Source organism: Homo sapiens, chromosome 6 (assembly GCF_000001405.40).
Source record: "Homo sapiens chromosome 6, GRCh38.p14 Primary Assembly".
In the NCBI taxonomy this organism is placed as follows: domain Eukaryota; kingdom Metazoa; phylum Chordata; class Mammalia; order Primates; family Hominidae; genus Homo; species Homo sapiens.
In genome coordinates this window covers 11,074,649-11,093,227 of record NC_000006.12, presented here as the reverse complement: position 1 = coordinate 11,093,227, position 18,579 = coordinate 11,074,649, and the positions used below count along the sequence as shown (strand labels likewise).

The 18,579-nt window shown below is 43.8% G+C and overlaps 1 long non-coding RNA gene across 3 annotated transcripts in view; it reads right to left on the bottom strand.

The window, feature by feature from the left end:
• Positions 1–14,083: 14,083 nt before the first annotated feature.
• The window catches only part of ELOVL2-AS1 (ELOVL2 antisense RNA 1), a 35,387-nt gene continuing 30,891 nt past the window's right edge, over positions 14,084–18,579 (bottom strand). For all 3 annotated transcript variants that reach the window (NR_038964.1, NR_038963.1, NR_038962.1), the window contains one exon: positions 14,084–15,539. This is a non-coding gene — a long non-coding RNA (ELOVL2 antisense RNA 1). The remainder of the gene's footprint in view (positions 15,540–18,579) is intronic.

The following is an 18,579-nucleotide window of genomic DNA, read 5'->3' as shown; positions in this document are numbered from 1 at the left end:
TTAGACCCAGCTGCCTCCTTGAGACCAAGCTTGGAGATTTTGCCGCACTGGCTTACACCTCTACGAAACAAGACACTGTAGTAATCTCAACTACTGTATCTCCACCCAAAATTGAAACTCCCCACTTCCGCCAGATTACATTCATTTGTTAAAGAGGTGCCCCCAGAAGAATAGAGGGTAAATGTGTCCCTCTTTTAGAAGGAATCAGAGCCTTCGAGTTTTCCTGTGATTCTTTTGCTCCCTGAGATACCTTTTTACTCTTCTAAAAATTACAGTTTCCTGTCTTCTGTCTCCAAAAACAAACACAAAAGTTCTAAGCAGCAATCCCTTGATTTAATAAATGTATCCTGCCATACCCAGCTGCCCTACTATGTGAACTGTATTCCCTAAGAAGCAACATTAGGAACAAATACCATGTATAAAAATACATTAAAGGATAATTACTTGCTTTGCAACAGATTTAATATAGATTCCTGTGAAGAGAATGAACCCAGTGCAATTAAGATATATTTACAAAAAATCAGTGTGTGCTTTTTTCATGGGTGGTTCAATTATGTTGCATAATTAAAACACATTTTATTAAAAGCCAGTTGAAAATACGCGTCAGGGCTAGGCGAGGTGGCTCACGCCTGTAATCCCAGCACTTTGGGAGGCTAAGGCGAGCAGATCACCTGAAGTCAGGAGTTCGAGACCAGCCTGGCCAACATGGTGAAACCCTGTCTCTACTAAAAATACAAAAATTAGCCGGGGGTAGTGGTGGGCGCCTGTAATTCCAGCTACTCAGGAGGCTGAGGCAGGAGAATCGCTTGAACCCAGGAGGCCAAGGTTGCAGTGTGCCGAGATCACACCACTGCACTCCAGCTTGGGCAACAGAGAGACTCTTATCAAAAAAAAAAAAAAAAAGAAAAGAAAAGAAAACAGCCATCGGAAGAACTAAAATAATTTATTTTAAAGGACCTTTTTCTCTTTGATTCACATATATTGGAATACCTATAGGGGCCAGGCACTGTTCTAAGTGCTGGGGATACAGCAGTGAATAAGACAAAGTGCCTTTACTCAAGATGCTTATATGACAGTTGGAAAAAAACAGACAATAAGCATAAATAGAGAAATCTCAGGAACTGCTATTAATAGCAAGACAGTGTGATAAATGTAGGTGTGTTATTTTAGCTTGTTGGGGGATCAGGGAAGGTCTTCCTGAGGAAGTAACATTTAATCTGAGTCCTGAATGACAACAAGGATTCATGGAAAGACCTAGAGAAGAACATACCAGGTAAAGGGAACAGCTAGTGCAAAACCCACAAGAAGGAAATAAACCTGGCCATTGCTCTAAGCCTTTTCAATGTTTCTCAACTCTGGATGCACATTTCAAATCACGTAGGGAGATTTATAAATTACGAATGGCTAGACCTCATCCCCATACCAAATGAACAGAATCTCTGGGAGTAGGGCCTAAGCATGGTTGTTTTTTATTTTTGTTTTTGAGACAGTCTCATCCTGTCTGCCACAGCTGGCCGGATGCAGTGGCTCACACCTGTAATCCCAGCACTTTCGGGGCTGAGGTGGACAGATCACCTGAGGTCAGGAGTTCAAGACCAGCCTGGCCAACATGGTGAAACCTCGTCTCTACTAAAAGTACAAAAATTAGCTGGGCGTGCTGGCAGATGCCTGTAATCCCAGCTACTCAGGAGGCTGGAGAATCGCTTAAGCCCAGGAGGCAGAGGTTGCAGTGAGCCAAGATCACACCACTGCACTCCAGCCTGGGTGATAGAGTGAGACTCCATTTTAATAAAAATAAAAAAATAAGCCACAGCTATTTCCAGAGTCCTTTTACTATTCTCTTCCCTATATAAAATGTTCTGCTTCCTCCTTTCTGATAGCCTCACTCCTACTTCTGCAATGTCTGTCCACATTCCTCCTCAATAAGACCTCCCTGACTCCTGTTCACTCGTCTGTCTAGCTCCTCTAAGCCAATGGCTTACTGCAGCCTCGACCTCCCGGACTCAAGTGATCCTCCCACCTCAGCCTCCTGAGTAGCTGGGACCACAGGCGTGCATCACCATGCCCTGCTAATTTTATTTTTTGTAGAGATAGGTTTTCGTCATATTACCTAGGCTGGTCTCGAACTCCTGCGCTCAAGTAATCTGCCTGCGTTGGCCTCCCAAAGTGATGGAATTACAGGCGTGAGCCACTACACCTAGTTATCAGTCTTGTTTATACATTGGAATTATCCAGGGAGCTTTAAAAACATTCCTAGATTTTGGGCCGGGCGCAGTGGCTCATGCCTGTAATCCCAGCACTTTGGGAGGCCGAGGCAGGAGGATCACTTGAGGTCAGGAGTTCAAGACCAGCCTGGACCACAAGGTGAAACCTCATCTCTACTAAAAATGCAAAAAAATTTAGCCAGGCATGGTGGCACGTGCCTGTAATCCCAGCTACTTGGGAAGCTGAGGAGGGAGAATTTGTGGAACCCGGGAGATGGAGGTCGCAGTGAGCCAAGATCACACCACTGCACTCCAGCCTGGGAGACAAAGCAAGACTCTGTTTAAAAAAAAAAAAAAAATTTCGTAACTTTCATATCAGGAATACTGAAGGCAGGGAAGGAGGTATAGAGGACCTGTAATTTTTTTAATGTTCTCCATGTTTTGATGAACAGACTTGAGAAATGCTAGTGTAAATTACATTTAGCAATTGTGTGCCCACCTTGTGATAGCCCTTGGATTGTTTTATATTTAGCACTTCATATATATATATATATATATATATATGTTCATATATGTCTTACTTCAGGCTGCTGTAACAAAATACCTTAGATTGGGTAGTTTGTAAACAACAGAAATTTATTGCATACAGTTTTGGAGGCTAAGAAGTCCAAGATCAAAGTGCCAGCAGATTCAATGTCTGGTGAGGGCTCGCTGCTTCATAGATGGCACCTCTTGCTGTGTCCTTACAAGGTGGAAGAGGCAAGGCAGTTCGCTCAAGCTTTTCGAGTTCTTTTGTTTTTGTTTTTGTTTTTTTCTGAGACAAGTTATCACTCTCCGCCCAGGCTAGAGTGCAGTGGCACGATCATGGCTCACTGCAGCCTCGACATACCTGGGCTCAGCTGATCTTTCCACCTCAGCCTTTAGAGTAGCTGGGTCTATAGGCATGCACCACCACTCCTGGCTAATTTTTTGTATTTTTTGTAGAGATGGGGTTCCACCATGTTGCCCAGGCTGGTCTCAAACTCCCAGACTCAAGTGATCCGCTGGCCTCAGCCTCCCAAAGTGTTAGGATTATAGGCATGAGCCACCACACCCAGCCCTTGAGCTTCTTTTACAAGGGTACTAATCTCATTCAAGAGGGTGGAGTCCTCATGACCTAATCATTTCCCACAAGCCCCACTTCTTAATAGTGTCACATTGGGCATTGGGTTCCAACATAAGAATTTTGGGGGGACACCAACATTCAAACCACAGCAGTATAAATACACACATGTAAATACAAATATGTACATATGTCTTCTTTCCCATATCTGATTCTTAGTGGGGGAACACTTACCTTTCCTCCTCTGCTATTTCCTTCCATGAGGGAGGCAGCTCAGGTGGTGTAATAATACTATGTCTGGGGCCGGGCATAGTGGCTTACGTCTGTAATCCCAGCACTTTGGGAGGCCAAGGCAGGCGGATCATGAGGTCAGGAGATCGAGACCATCCTGGCTAACACAGTGAAACCCCATCTCTACTAAAAATACAAAAAATTAGCCGGGCGTCGTGGCGGGTGCCTGTAGTCCCAGCTACTCGGGAGGCTGAGGCAGGAGAATGGCGTGAACCCGGGAGGCGGAGCTTGCAGTGAGCCGAGATCGCGCCACTGCACTCCAGCCTGGGTGACAGAGCCAGACTCTGTCTCAAAAAAAAAAAAAAAAAAAAAAAAAAAAAAAAAAAAAAAACTACGTCTGGTCTCTCTATGCTCTTTTATCCCCTCTGTCCCTGGTCAGGGGAGGAGTGATTTACTTAATTGGTGCCTTTAGGAAAAACTGGTTTTGCAGAGCTCCACTTTTCCCACATTCCTCTTAAATCTGAGCTGTTTATGCCTTATATCCACACAGGCCAGCAGCAAAGGGAGGTCCACCCTAGGTGCTTCCACTTAGGTCCAATCAACAGGCCTGACTGGCTCATACACTATTTTTGTTCTCTGATGTAGCCTTATTACTAAAGGTAATATTTTCGCCTCCAAATGTCTTCTTGTTTTCGCAGTTGAGCAGTGTTTTCTCTCAGCAATCCCATACTTCTTTTACGATAATTAAGAGGAGTCACGTCTCATTAGATTGGTATTAAAAGAGAGAAGCTATGGTTTTACCATTTATGTATCACATAGTAGGTGCTCGTCAGATTTCGATCCAAATGTTTTATCTCTAAAGCCTCACAAATTTTAGCCATTCGATCATTAAATATCGTGGGAAGAATATGCTAAATGTAGGGTGGATACAAGGTAAGACAGATTCCTGCCCTTGTGGATAAATCCAGTCCTACACCAATTATCTACCAAACACCTACACCTACTTCATGCCATGCACTGCTTGCCACTAGCAGTACAAAAATAAATATGCTCCCTGTTGTAAAATAGCCCAGCCTAGCTCAGTGTTTTTCAATGTTGACCCATCTGAGTGTGTCCGTAATTGGTAGGTTCTTGGTCTACACTGACTTCAAGAATGAAGCCACCAACTCTCACAGTTGAGTGTTATAGCTCTTAAGGTGGCGTGTCTGGAGTTTATTCCTGCTGGTGTTTGGATGTGTTCAGACTTTCTTCCTTTTGGTGGGTCCACAGTATCCCTAGCTCAGGAATAAAGCTGCAGACCTTCCCAGTGAGTGTTACAACTCTTAGGACAGTGTGTCTGGAGTTGTTTGTTTCTCCCGGTGGGCTACGTGGTCTCACTGACTTCAGAAGCAAAGCTGCAGACCTTCACAGTGAGTATTACAGCTCATAAAAAGCAGTGTTGACCCAAAAAGTAAGTAGTAGCATAATTTATTGCAAATAGCAAAAGAGCAAAGCTTCCCAAGGGCAGAAGGAGACGGGAGCAGGTTGCTACTACTGGCTCGGGCAGCCTGCTTTTATTCTCTTATCTGGCCCCACCCACATCCTGCTGATTGGTAGAGCCGAGTGGTCTGTTTTGACAGGGCACTGATTGGTGCATTTACAATCCCTGAGCTAGACACAAAGGTTCTCCATGTCCCCACTAGGTTAGCTAGATAGAGTGTGGACACAAAGGTTCTCCAAAGCCCCACCGGAGTAGCTAGATACAGAGTGTTGATTGGTACATTCATAAACCCTGAGCTAGACACAGGGTGCTGATTGGTGTGTTTGCAAACCTTGAGCTAGATACAGAGTGCCGATTGGTGCATTTACAATCCCTGAGCTAGACATAAAGGTTCTCCAAGGCCCCACCAGAGTAGCTAGATACAGTGTCGATTGGTGCATTCACAAACCCTGAGCTAGACACAGGGTGCTGATTGGTGTATTTACAATCCCTGAGCTAGGCATAAATGTTCTCCACGTCCCCACCCGACTCAGGAGCCCAGCTGGCTTCACCTAGTGGATCCCGCACAGCGCTGCAGGTGGAGCTGCCTGCTAGTCCCGCCTTGCGCCCGCACTTCTCAGCCCTTGGGTGGTCGATGGGACTGGGCGCTGTGGAGCAGTGGGTGGCGCTCACTGGGGAGGCTTGGGCCGCACAGGAGCCCACGGAGGGGGTGGGAGGCTCAGGCATGGCGGGCTGCGGGTTCCGAGCCCCGCTCCGCGGGAAGGCAGCTAAGGCCCGCCGAGATATCGAGCGCAGCGCTGGTGGGCTGGCACTGCTGGAGGACCCAGTACACTCTCCGCAGCTGCTGGCCCGGGTGCTAAGTCCTTCATTGCCCGGGGCCGGCAGGGACGGCCGGCTGCTCCGAGTGCGGGGCCCGCCAAGCCCACGCCCACCCGGAGCTCCAGCTGGCCCGCAAGCGCCGCGCGCACCCCCGGTTCCGGCGCGCGCCTCTTCCTCCACACCTCCCTGCAAGCTGAGGGAGCCGGCTCTGGCCTTGGCCCGCCCAGAAAGGGGCTCCCACAGTGCAGTGGTGGGCTGAAGGGCTCCTCAAGTGCAGCCAAAGTGGGAGCCCAGGCAGAGGAGGTGCCGAGAGCGAGCGAGGGCCGTGAGGACTGCCAGCACGCTGTCACCTCTCATGTGCATCCTGAAATTAATTCAGTGAGAGTCATGACTGGTACTTTAACGACTAGAATAGAATCTATAAATGTATATCACAAGTAGTAAGGGCAAATACTACTTATGGAAGTTTTATTTCAGTTATTTATGTATGTGGGTGTATGTATTAGTGGAGTGTGTGTGTGAACTGAGTTGCAATGCAAAATACATTCTTACTATGGGTTATAGTTTATAAAAAGACGAAAAATCCAGTCTAGCAAGAGGGAACCAGACGTGTATATATGTGACTTACTTATTTATTTTTCTTTTTTGAGACAGAGTCTCACTCTTGTCATCCAGGTTGGAGTGCAGTGGCGTGATCTCGGCTCACTGCAACCTCTGCCTCCAAGGTTCAAGTGATTCTCCTGCCTCAGCCTCCCAAGTAGCTGGGACTATAGGCACGTGCCACCATGCGCAGCTAATTTTTGTATTTTTAGTAGAGACGGGGTTTCGCCACGTTGGCCAGGCTGGTCTCGAACTCCTGACCTCAGGTGGTCCACGTGCCTCGCCCTCCCAAAGAGCTAGGATTACAGGTGTGAGCCACCACGCCTGGCGGACTATTTTAAATATTACTTTACATGTATAACATAGGATTTTTCAGATGTGATTGAGGCTTAGTGACTCTAAAAAAATTTGTAGTGGGTAATGAGTTGAACTGACATCCAAACACAGGTCAGTATAACTTAAAATTTCGTTTCCATTGTACCACAGACAGGAAAAGATCTGGAGAAAGGAAAGATTGAGAGAAAAACCATGAGCAAATTCTTGAGGTCATGAGTACGTTTGTGAGAGTGATGGTTAGGATGCCTAAGATTCCATGGAAAAGATAACAGTTCCTTTCAGTTCTGAAAAATTTGGAGTTGAGGGAGACTATGGTGGTTAAGTTCCTGCTCTGCAATTCAGCTCTGGGTTTGAATTCTAACTAACTTGGTTGAATGACTTCATCTTCCTAAGCCTCTTACTAATGTTTAATACTAATAATAATACAATTGACCCTCAAACAACATAGGTTTGAACTGCACAGTTTCACTTATATAAGGGTTTTCTTCCACCCCTACCATTGCTGAGACAGCAAAACCAACCCCTGCTTTTCCTCCTCCTGAGCCTATTCAATGTATAGACTGCAAGGATGAAGACCTTTATGATGATCCACTTCCACTTAATGAATAGTAAATATATTTTCTAGTCCTTCTGATTTTCTTTTCTTTTTTTTATTCATTTATTATTTTTTTGAGACAGACCCTTACTCTGTCGCCCAGGCTGGAGTGCAGTGGTGCGATCTTGGCTCACTGCAACCTCTGACTCCTGGGTTCAAGTGATTCTCCTGCCTCAGCCTCCCAAGTAGCCGGGATTACAGGCACGCGCCACCACGCTCAGCTAATTTTTTTATTTTTAGTAGAGACGGGGTTTCACCGTGTTGGCCAGGATGGTCTCGATCTCCTGACCTCGTGGTCTATCTGCCTCAGCCTCCTAAAGTGCTGGGATTACAGGCGTGAGCCACCACGCCCAGCATGATTTTCTTAATAACATTTTCTTTTCTCTAGCTTACTTTTTTGTATAAATAACATAATAGCATATAATACAAATAACATACAAAATACATGTTAATTGACTGTTTATGTTATTTGTAAGGCTTCTAGTCATTCGTAGACAATATTAGTAGTTAAGTTTTTGGGAAGTCAAAAGTTATATACACGTTTTTGACTGCGTGGGGGGTTTAGCATCCCTACCCCCACCCTGTGTTGTTCAAGGGGCAACTGTAGTACCCTCTCCACGGAATCATTTTGACAATGTAATGAGATGCTACATAGAAAGAGCTTACCTGGCACAGTGTCACCTGCACTTAGGATGTCTTCAATAAATGCATGCATCTTAATAACCTAATTTATATATATTTTTTATTTTTTTGAGACAGTCTCACTCTGTCATCCAGGCTGGAGTGCAGTGGTGCGATCTTGGCTCACTGCAACCTCTGCCTCCCAGGTTCAAGATTCTCCTGCCTCAGACTCCCAAGTAACCGGGACTACAGGTGCACGCCACCACACCCAGCTAATTTTTGTATGTTTTCGTAGAGATATGGTTTCACCATGTTAGTTAGGCTGGTCTCGAACTTCTGACCTCAAGTGACCCACCCGCCTCAGCTTCCCAAAGTGCTGGGATTACAGGTGTGAGTCACCACACCTGGCCCTAATGGAACTAGGTAGCAGGATTGCTTGCATTCAATTCATTTTTACTTGATTTGGAAAAGAGCCTGTCAGAATTTGATCAGAAAGCCAGAACCACCACAGGGGCATGGAATACAGGATTTATTGTAGGAGTTAAGTCTCAGGCAATTGTGGGAGCTGACAGGGCAGCCCAAGCAGGCTGTTGTTTCCATGCCTAGTGTTGAGCCTACAGTTGCTAAAACAGCAGTTGGGAAGGAAAGTTGGATGTGGACAAGGGTAAGGGCGACTGGAAACTGCAGGGGCAAACTAGGACCAACAAAGAGAACTAGACCCTGCAAAGACTAACTGGAACCAACATCCTCCTCTCCCCACTTCCAACCTTGATGCCATAGATAATGTGTAGAAGAAGCTTGTGCCCTTCACTATGGAACTGAGCATGCACTCAGTCCAGGAGTTGAAGAAACTGATGGGGGAGATCTGGCAGGAGCTGGAGTGTGTTCGTTTCCTAGGGCTGCCATAAGAAAGTACCACAGAAACTGGGTGGCTTCGACCACAGAAAGTTAGTCTTTCACAGTTCAGAAAGCCAGGACTCCAAAAGCAAGGTATTGGCTGGGCCATGCTCCCTCTGAGGGCTCTAAGGGAGAGTCTTTTCCGCTTCTGGTGGCTGTGGCAATCCTTGGCCTTCCTTGGCCAAGCTGCATCACTCCAATCTCTGCCTCCACCATCACACAGCATTCTTCCCTGCATGTCTGTGTAGCCGTGTCTTCACATGGCCTTCTTATAAGGACACTAGTCATGGGATTTAGGGCCTACCGTAATCCATTAGGACCTAATCTTAATATAACTAATTACAGTTGCAAAGACCCTATTACCAAATAAGTTCACATTCTGATGTTACTGGTGAATGTGAATTTTGACAGGACAACACTGCTCAATACAGTACATGGGGGAACTGTGTTTTGGGGTGTTTTCCCATACCTACGAGGTGAGCTAGCTGCAGAGCAGTGACAATATGCCTGCCCTTCACCAGTCACTAAAGCATAAAAAAAATGGCAGCTGCTTCATTTCAACCTCTCAAATATCATCCAACGTGTCTTTATTGGCCAACGCTGATCCAGAAACATAAAGGAAAGGAAATACTGGGAAATTCCAGTTTCACCAAATTGTTATAGTACAGGGCCACTATACAGTGAGTCACTGATGACTCTCAAGTCAAAACGACTTGATGGGAACATTGTTTTAAAAATATTGATCTGGCAGTAAAGTGGAGGAGAGATCAGGGGTAAGAAAAGATTGCAGATTCATTAAGAGATTGCTGGCATAGTCTAAGACAGTAGTCTCTAAATGTTTTTGATTATGCCTTTGGTAATCGTAGACTAAATAAATTGGACAAATTCTCTAGCTGAATCCAACTAAAAAGTCAGAATTAAAACAAAAATCTTTTTACAAACATCGGCTGGGTGCGGTAGCTCACTCCTGTAATCCCAGCACTTTGGGCGGCAGAGGCAGGTGGATCACCTGAGGCCAGGAGTTTGAGACCAGCCTAGCCAACATGGAGAAACCCCGTCTCTACTGAAAATACAAAAAATTAGCCAGGCATGGTGGCAGGTGCTTGTAATCCCAGCTACTCAAGAGGCTGAGGCAGAATTGCTGGAACCCAGGAGGCGGAGGTCGCAGTGAGCCGAGATTGGGCCATTGCACTACAGCCTGGGCAACAAGAGTGAAACTCCATCTCAAAAAAAAAAAAAGTTAAAGAGCTAATGAGACAATGAGAAATAAGTGGGCCAAGATTGGGGAGAAGATAGAAATAGAAAAATCTAAAACAAGAACCAGGTGTTTGGAGGCTCTTTTACCCAGGGAGGGCATTCAGAGATCCTAAGATGAGGCTGAGCAGTGCTTTCCACAACTCTGGGTGACAAGGGCAAAGCTGGAGTTGTGGGACTGGGGTTCTGGAGAATCCCAGGCACAGAGGGCTCAGACCCCGAAGGGCCTCACCACAGGAATAAAGGGGCGGCTGAAAATACACCTGAAGCCTGGTTGGCTTTGACTGATCGGGCTGACCCAGAAAAGTTCAATTTCTGAAATTGGATTAGGGGAATCCTGGATTAGTGTAGCCTTAAGGCCTGGCAGAAACAAAGAAATAAGCTCATCGTCCTAGGCTTCAAATGATTTCTACAAACACCTTTTCAAACACAATTTCCAGCACATACTCAAGTATTTTTTTATTGTATGCCATTCTTAAGTTACAACAAAAAAATTTTGAGCACACACCTTTAATACATATTTGTTTACAAATTATCACACTTGTTACTTTATATCATGGAATGTACAGAAAAAGAAATGCTAGAGGATGAGATGAAGATAAATAAAATATTTAAGTTTTTTAAATTTTATTTTTGTATTGCAAGAAGTAGTTTTATTTGAGTTAAAATTATTTACAAAAGCCCAGAGACATACTTCATGAAACTCATACAAACTGTTTTTTCCGGCGGTTAGCTTTGGCTCCAGAGATCACAGCTGTGAAATACTGTGTAAAATAAAAGTAGGACTGGATTCAGAAAAGTACTCTACTTTTCTAATTTCCAATGGGTAGTATTTTTAGAAATATTTACAATGGAAAAAAAAGGTTACTTTAAAACTTTAGTTAATTTGCAAGTCACCTCAAGAACCTTAAAAGGTAGAATTCTCTGAATGTTAAAAACACACAAATGTGCTACATTTGGTGAAGGTGATATCTCCCCCACCTAAAACTTTATTTTTAACAGTAGAGAAAATTTTTAATATCACTGTGTTAGTTTGCTAGAACCACGAAGTACAAAGAACCACAAACTGAGTAGCTTAAAACAACAGGAGTTTATTCTGTCACTGTTGTGGGGGCTAGAAGTCCAAAATCAAGCTGCTAGGAGGGCCATGGACCCTCCGAAGGTTCTAGGAAAGGATTCTTCCTTGCCTCTACCAGCGTTGGATAGCCCCAGGTGTTCCCTGGCTAGTGGCAACATAAATGTACTCTTGGACTCCTCCTTACCTGGTCCTCTCCTCTATGTGTATCTGCCCTCTCCTCTTGTTATAGGGACACCAGTCATATAAGGGCCTACCGGCTGGGCACAGTAGCTCACGCCTGTAATCCCAGCACTTTGGGAGGCTGAGGCAGATGGATCACCTGAGGTCAGGAGTTCAAGACCAGCCTGGCCAATGGGTGAAACCCCCATCTCTACTAAAAATACAAAAATTAGCCGGGTGTGGTGGTGGCTGCTTGTAATTCCAGCTACTTGGGAGGCTGAGGCAGGAGAATCGCTTGAACCGGGGAGGCAGAGGGTGCAGTGAGCGGAGATCACGCCACTGCACTCCACCCTGGGAAACAGGAGCGGAATTCTGTCTCAAAAAAAAAAAAAAAAAAAAAAAAAACCTTATGACCTCATCTTAATTTAACTAATTATATCTGCAATGACCCTATTTCCAAATAGGAACTGAGGATAAGGATTTCAACTAAACTTTCTGTGAGACATAATTCAATCCATAACAATCACCAAATACTCTTCATTACTTCAAAAAATCTTTTGAAAATGATTAATACTTTGAGGTTTAGCAGTTCAATGACCTATATTCACTTTATCTTAATACTTAATTTTAATATTTGTCATAATTTTAAAAAATATCTACGACATATAAGAAATATATATTTGGTCTCTGTCTCCAGTTCTTGACACAGAGCTCCTAAAACTCTTGTAGTTTCCTGAGCAATAGGAGTACTAAGAGCACCTTTTATTCTAATATTTGGTCCTCAACTCTGTGATATGGTTTGGGTCTGTGTCCCCACCCAAATCTCATGGCGAATTGTAATCCTTAGTGTTGGGGGCGGGGCCTGGTGGGAGGTGACTGGACCATGGGGGCAGATTTCTCACGAATGGTTTAGCACCATCCTCTTAGTACTGTTCTCACAATAATAAGTCCTCTCAAGATCTGGTTGTTTAAAAGTGTGTGGCGTCTCCCCTCTGTCTTGCTCCTGCTCCGGGCATGTGAGATGCCTCACTACCCCTTTGTCTTCCCTCATAATTGGAAGCTTCCTGAGGCCTCCCCAGGAGCAGAAGCCCCTATGCTTCCTGACAGCCTGCAGAACTGTGAGCCAACGAAACCTCCTTTCTTTATAAATTACCCAGTCTCAGGTATTTCTTTATAGCAATGTGAGAATGGACTAATACACTCTGGTTCCTGAGACAGAGGTCCCAAATCCTTTGAAAATTCTTGGGATGTCCAAAAGACGACGGGAATGTCTTTTGTTCTAGCCAGGCAACTGGCTGAATGAAGCTCCTGAATGGAGCTGGTCACCAGAAAGACCAAGCCATGATTAGAAGCTTGGAATTTTCAGCTCCACCCCACATCCTCTGGGGAAGAGAGAGGGACTAGTGACTGAGTTAATAATCAGTCATGCTTCCATGATGAAGCCTCCACTAAATCACTAAACTACCAGATTCAGAAAGCTTCTGGGTTGGTGAGTACAACCATGTGCTGGGAGGTTGGCGCATATCAACTCCATGGGGACAGAAGCTCCTGTGCCTGGGACCTCGCTCTATGTACCTCTTCATCTGGCTGTTCATTTGTATCTTCTATCATATTCTCTATAATAAACCAGTCAATGAAGGTAAAATGTTTCCCTGAGTTCTGTGAGCTGTTCTAACAACTTACGGAGCATGAGGAGAGGATGGTGGAGAGCCCTGATGTACAGATTTATAGCTGATTGTTCAGACATACAGGAGGCCCAGATCTGGCACTGGAATCTGAAGTGGGGACAGTCTTGTGGAATGGACCCATAACCCGTGGGGGCTGCACTAACTCTGGATAGTTAGTGTCAGAAATGAATTGCAGGGCTGGGTGCAGTGGCTCACGCCTGTACTTTAGGAGGCCAAGGCAGGAGGTCAGGAGTTCAAGACCATCCTGGCCAACATGGCAAAACCCCGTCTCTACTAAAACACTAAAATTAGCTGGGCATGGTGGTGGGCACCTGTAATCCCATCTACTCGGGAGGCTGAGGCAGGGGAATCATTTGAACCCAAGAGGCAGAGTTTGCAGTGAACTGAGATCGTGCCACTGCACTCCAGCCTGGGCCACAGATTGAGACTCCATCTCAAAAAAAAAAAAAAAAGGAAATGAATTGTAGGACACTCAGTTTGTGTATAGAGGGTTGGAGAATTGGGTCTTGTGGACACACACTCCCACATTTGGTGTCAGCAGTATGGTGAGAAATCATTTTTCTTTAATACCTCAAAAAGATGAAGAATTCCAAATGAAAGCAGTGCCCCTCTGACTGACTTTTGTCTTTTTCTTTTCTTTTTTTAGACAGGGTCTCGCTCTGTTGCCCAGGCTGGAGTGCAGTGGTGTGATCACGCCTCACCATGGCCCCAAACTCGTGGGCTCAGGCGATCCTCCCACCTCAACCTCCCAAGTAGCCAGGACTACAGGCTAATTTTTTTAAGTTTTAATTTTTGTGGAGGCAGAGGCTCACTATGTTATCCAGGCTTCTGACTGACTTTTGAATTGTGACACACATTTTTTTCAATCTCATCCACTTACTGTACAAAGATTTTTCTTGAAATTCGGCTAGCAAATTTCCATCTTTACTGTTACTTAGTTGTTCTTGAACACTAAATGGAATATGTTACATTTTTATTGTTTTTATAAATAAGTTAGAAATCCACAGAAACTCTGCTTAGCAAATTTTTATTTTTTATTTTTATTGTTCACATCAGGCAGGTAATGTGCCAATGACAAGGCTCAAGGGAGGCACATCTCACATGTGGACGCGAAAACTCAATCATCAAGCTTATGAACCACAAAAGGATCTAGAAAAGTTTTAAACATATGACACAATTCTGTGTCCATGCTTGTGTGCAAATAGGTCACACTGTTGTATAACTTTTTGACTTAAAATCATCTAACAGTGGAAATGCTTTCCAACATTCTTTTTCAAAACACTCTCTCAACTTCATGAACATAATGAAGAGAACAACATACACTGGGGCCTATTTGAGGGTGGAGGGTGGGAGGAGAGAGAGGAGGAGAAAAAGCAACTATTGGGTACTAGGCTTAGTACCTGGGTGAGGAAATTATCTGTACAACAAACCCCTGTGACATGAGTTTACCTATATAACAAACCTGCATATGTACCCCCAAACCTAAAACAAAAGTTAAAAAACAAAACAAAAAACCAAAATCCAAAATACTCTCTCCATAGGGTGCAATATTTCTAAAGCAACTATTTTCTCATTTGTTGTTATGACATTCTTTTTATCTTGAGGAAACATATGAAATGAGGTTATTTTTCCAAAAACATCTGTTACATGGTATGCTATAGAGACTCACTCTATCTTTTTGTCGCAGAAAGCGTCAGTGTCTTAGTTTAGTTCCAGCAGCTTTAACAAAATGCTATCGACTGGGTAGCTTATAATTAACAGAAATTGATTTCTCAGAGTTCTGGAGGCTGGGAAATTCAAGATCAAGTTGCCAGAAGAGTGGGTGTCTGGTGGTAAGCGCCCACTTCCTAGTTCATAGATGGCACCTTCTCACTATGTCCTCACATGGTGGAAGGGCAAGGCAGCTCTCTGGACACTAATCCCATTGATGAGGGTTACACCCTCATGACCTATAGTCCCTCCCCCAAAGGCCCCACTTCCTAATGCCATCACATTGGGAATTAAGTTTCAACATATGAATTTTGGAGAACACTGACATTTAGAACGTAGTTGTCAGCCAATTCTGTATCCTCATCTTCTGGGATGAACGCTGTGATCCATCACCCAGTGCATTCCCCCTGTGATGTTGGTCTTGTCGCTCCAGGTGTAGGGAGTGCTGGCGGGCATTTTAGGGACTGTCTTGGCCACACCCCTTCCTGGGGTGGACATCCAGTGACTATCCCATGCAGGAATATAAAGAACTGGCCATCTCAGACCAACTCAGGACAACTCTGAAGGGCCATTCTAGCTCCAGAGCTCCTGTGGGTTCAGCCAAGAGTCCTGGCCTGAAATGCATCTCGACTTCTGTCTCTCTGTTCGATTTCTTCTTCCCCCTTCCTTCTATGGGTGTTGAAACCAAGGATGAGCCCTAATAATCATCCTGCAGAATGTGTCTCAGAATTTTCTTCCCAGGAATCTAACTTAGGACACTTTCATCTAAAAGAAATAAAAAATATGTGTAACTTATCTTTAAATACTTTGCCAAGAAAAAAGCCGGAAAACTCCTGGTGGTAAGAAACGGTTTGCCTGGCCATTTTAGTGATGGCCTGTTATTTTAAAATCTTGCTTTTACAAAATTAGGCCCATTGAAAACAACTCATAGCAAGGAAACAGCAAAACAGAGTGACACACTGACAGTGGAATTCCTACCATGCCCTCAGGATACTTCCTATTATTCTATTTGACATGTGAACATGGAACATAAGAGACAAATTGAGGACCCAGTGTCTATCTTTATAGCAAATATTAAGAAAGCTTAATTTCTTACCTTTTAACATAAATACATATACTTTCTCATATTTTCTTTCTATGTCCTCAATGTACAGCATTATATTGCAAAGTCTACTCATCTAGGCAAAAAGCCACAAGAAATGAATGTAAGGAAGGCAGATGGGCACAACCCAGTGGGGCCAGGACTTATGAGCTGTCTGTGCTGCTGAGGACATGGGAAGAGCCAACGATAACTTCTAGATTGCTAGCTCGAGTGACTGAATGAAAGTCAGTGCCCTAAAATCTTTGACTTGGGGAGAGGAGCAAGGTGGCATTTGCCAGGCCGGATTTGGAGTGTGATGGTGGAACATCTGGATACAGGAGTTCAGTGGGAAGGTTCCAGTGTATGTATGCATGAGGGGCAATCAGGAGAGCTGCCAGGACTCAAGTGGCCATCTGCAAGTTAAAGCAAGGAAGTGATGAGAGTATAAAGAGAGAAGATGATAAGCCCAAAGTAATATTTTTAACAGATGAGGCCTAGCAGTAGTATTGAGGATATGCTGGAAAGGCCTCAGGCCTCAAGGCAGCCTATAGGAGGCTGTAGAGATGCAAATGTGGGCTAATGAAGTCCTGGGCAAGGGCACAGGGAGGGTGGAAGGGTGGGAAGGAGAGGATGTGTTTGGGCAAGCTTTACGACTAACAGGAGTAGGGAGCCAGGGAGAGGAGGGAGTTCATGTTTTCCTTTTAGACCTTATTTGGAAAAATACCTTTATCTTAAATACTCTGTGCCTTCCTCCCATTCTGACGTTATGAAAATCCACATACATATGAAGCATTTATGGTTCAAGTTTTAGAAGTGGTTAAGCTGCAGTTAGGCACTGAACACACACCAGTTTCCTATGGCAATTTAGACGACTAACTATAGTAATAGATTTTTACCTACACAGACAGCAATGACATGTCATAAGCAAGAAGGCAAGTATGACTGATTCTCACCTCCTTCTGTGGTGTAATCATTCCTATGACAGGTAGAATATTTGGTTCTAGGCCATGTTTATAAAAGTTTATATTGTAGCTGTTTAGGTTCACTTGTTAGTTTTTTGGGGGGAAAGTTAACCAATTTAGAACTTTGAAAGGGTATCTATACTATTATTTTCACAATTTAATAGGTAGAACATTTGAAAAAATGGATACCGTATTTCCTTCCTTTAGCAGCGGAATCTAACTTTTTCTAAACTTCTATAAGCACTTTCCACTGACCTCCCCCCACCCCAAAAATGAGTAACAACAAGAAAGTAAGGCCACCATGCAAAAAAATACAAAATTTCTCAAACATGTCATATTTCTTTGGTGTTACACAGAATGGAGCCTGCATCCTTCCATTTAAACAACAAAAGCCCTGATTGTTACATTCCTACAGAAATGTGACATTTTACTGGATCTTCATTTTCCAGTACAAAATGTAAATTTCTGGTAGAATGTTTTTTCCCTCAGTATAGTTTTAGAATGTTAATCAGTTGGATAACTAAGTTATTGCAGGCCTGCTTGAATCAGGACTGAGGGGAAATTGCATTTTGGATTAACAAAAACACCTTTATTGGACTTAATATTTATTGTAGCTCAATATCAAGACACTGGTTTAGAAGTACTTATTAACATAACACTACTCTTCTACTTTGTCATGAAATTGGAGTTAGGCTCAAACTTTACATTGTAATTTAAGTCCAGCTAACAGTAGCTAATAACATTCCTGTTGTACTTGTCTACGATGTTAACTCATTCAATCTTCACCTCAATTCTGTTAGGTAGGAACTACAGGCTGACCATTCCTAATTCAAAATTCCAAAAGTTTTGAGCACTGATATAACACCACAAGCAGAAAATTTCACACTTGACCTTGTGTACACAAACTTTGTTTAATGTACGAAATTATTTAAAATGTTGTATAAAATTACCTTCAAGCTATGTGTATGAGGTATATATGAAACATAACTTTATGTTTAGACCTGGGTCCCATCCCCAAGATATCTCATTATGTATATGCAAATATTCCAAAATTTTAAAAAAATCTGAAATTCTAAATACTTCTGGTCCCAAGCATTTTGGAAAAGGGATACTCAACTAGTATTATTATTCCCATTTTATAGATGAGGAAAGTGAGGCATGTAAGGTTAAGTAAGTAGACCAAAATTATACAGCTAGTATGTGGGATGGCCAGGATGCTGACCAGACAGCCTGCCATCAGTCCATGCTCTTAACCACGCTGCTCTACTGCCTGCTTAAGTGAGAGTTAAGTAGTTTTGAGGGAAAAAATACTCCAGCTTGCCTTTATAAAATTCCAGAGATCAAACATGTAGTTATATTGTAGATTAGGGGGAAAATAAGTGGTATCTATAATAAAAAGTGCTCCTGGAAGACATAGCAAGCAGGTCTTTTCTGCCATCCAGGTTACCCTGGAATCCCACTTTCCAATATTCCATTTCACACAATAAAAACACCTGTAATCCTAGCACTTTGAGAGGCCGAGGTGAGCAGTTTCCCTGAGCTCAGGAGTTTGAGACCAGCCTGGGCAACACGGTGAAACCCCGTCTCTACTAAAATACAAAAAATTAGCCTGGCGTGGCATCATGCACCTGTAGTCCCAGCTACTTGGGAGGCTGAGGCAGGAGAATTGCTTGAACCCAGGAGGCGGAGATTGCAGTGAGCCGAGATTGTGCCACTGCACTCCAGCCCGGGCAACAGAGCAAGACGCCATCTCCCAAAAAAA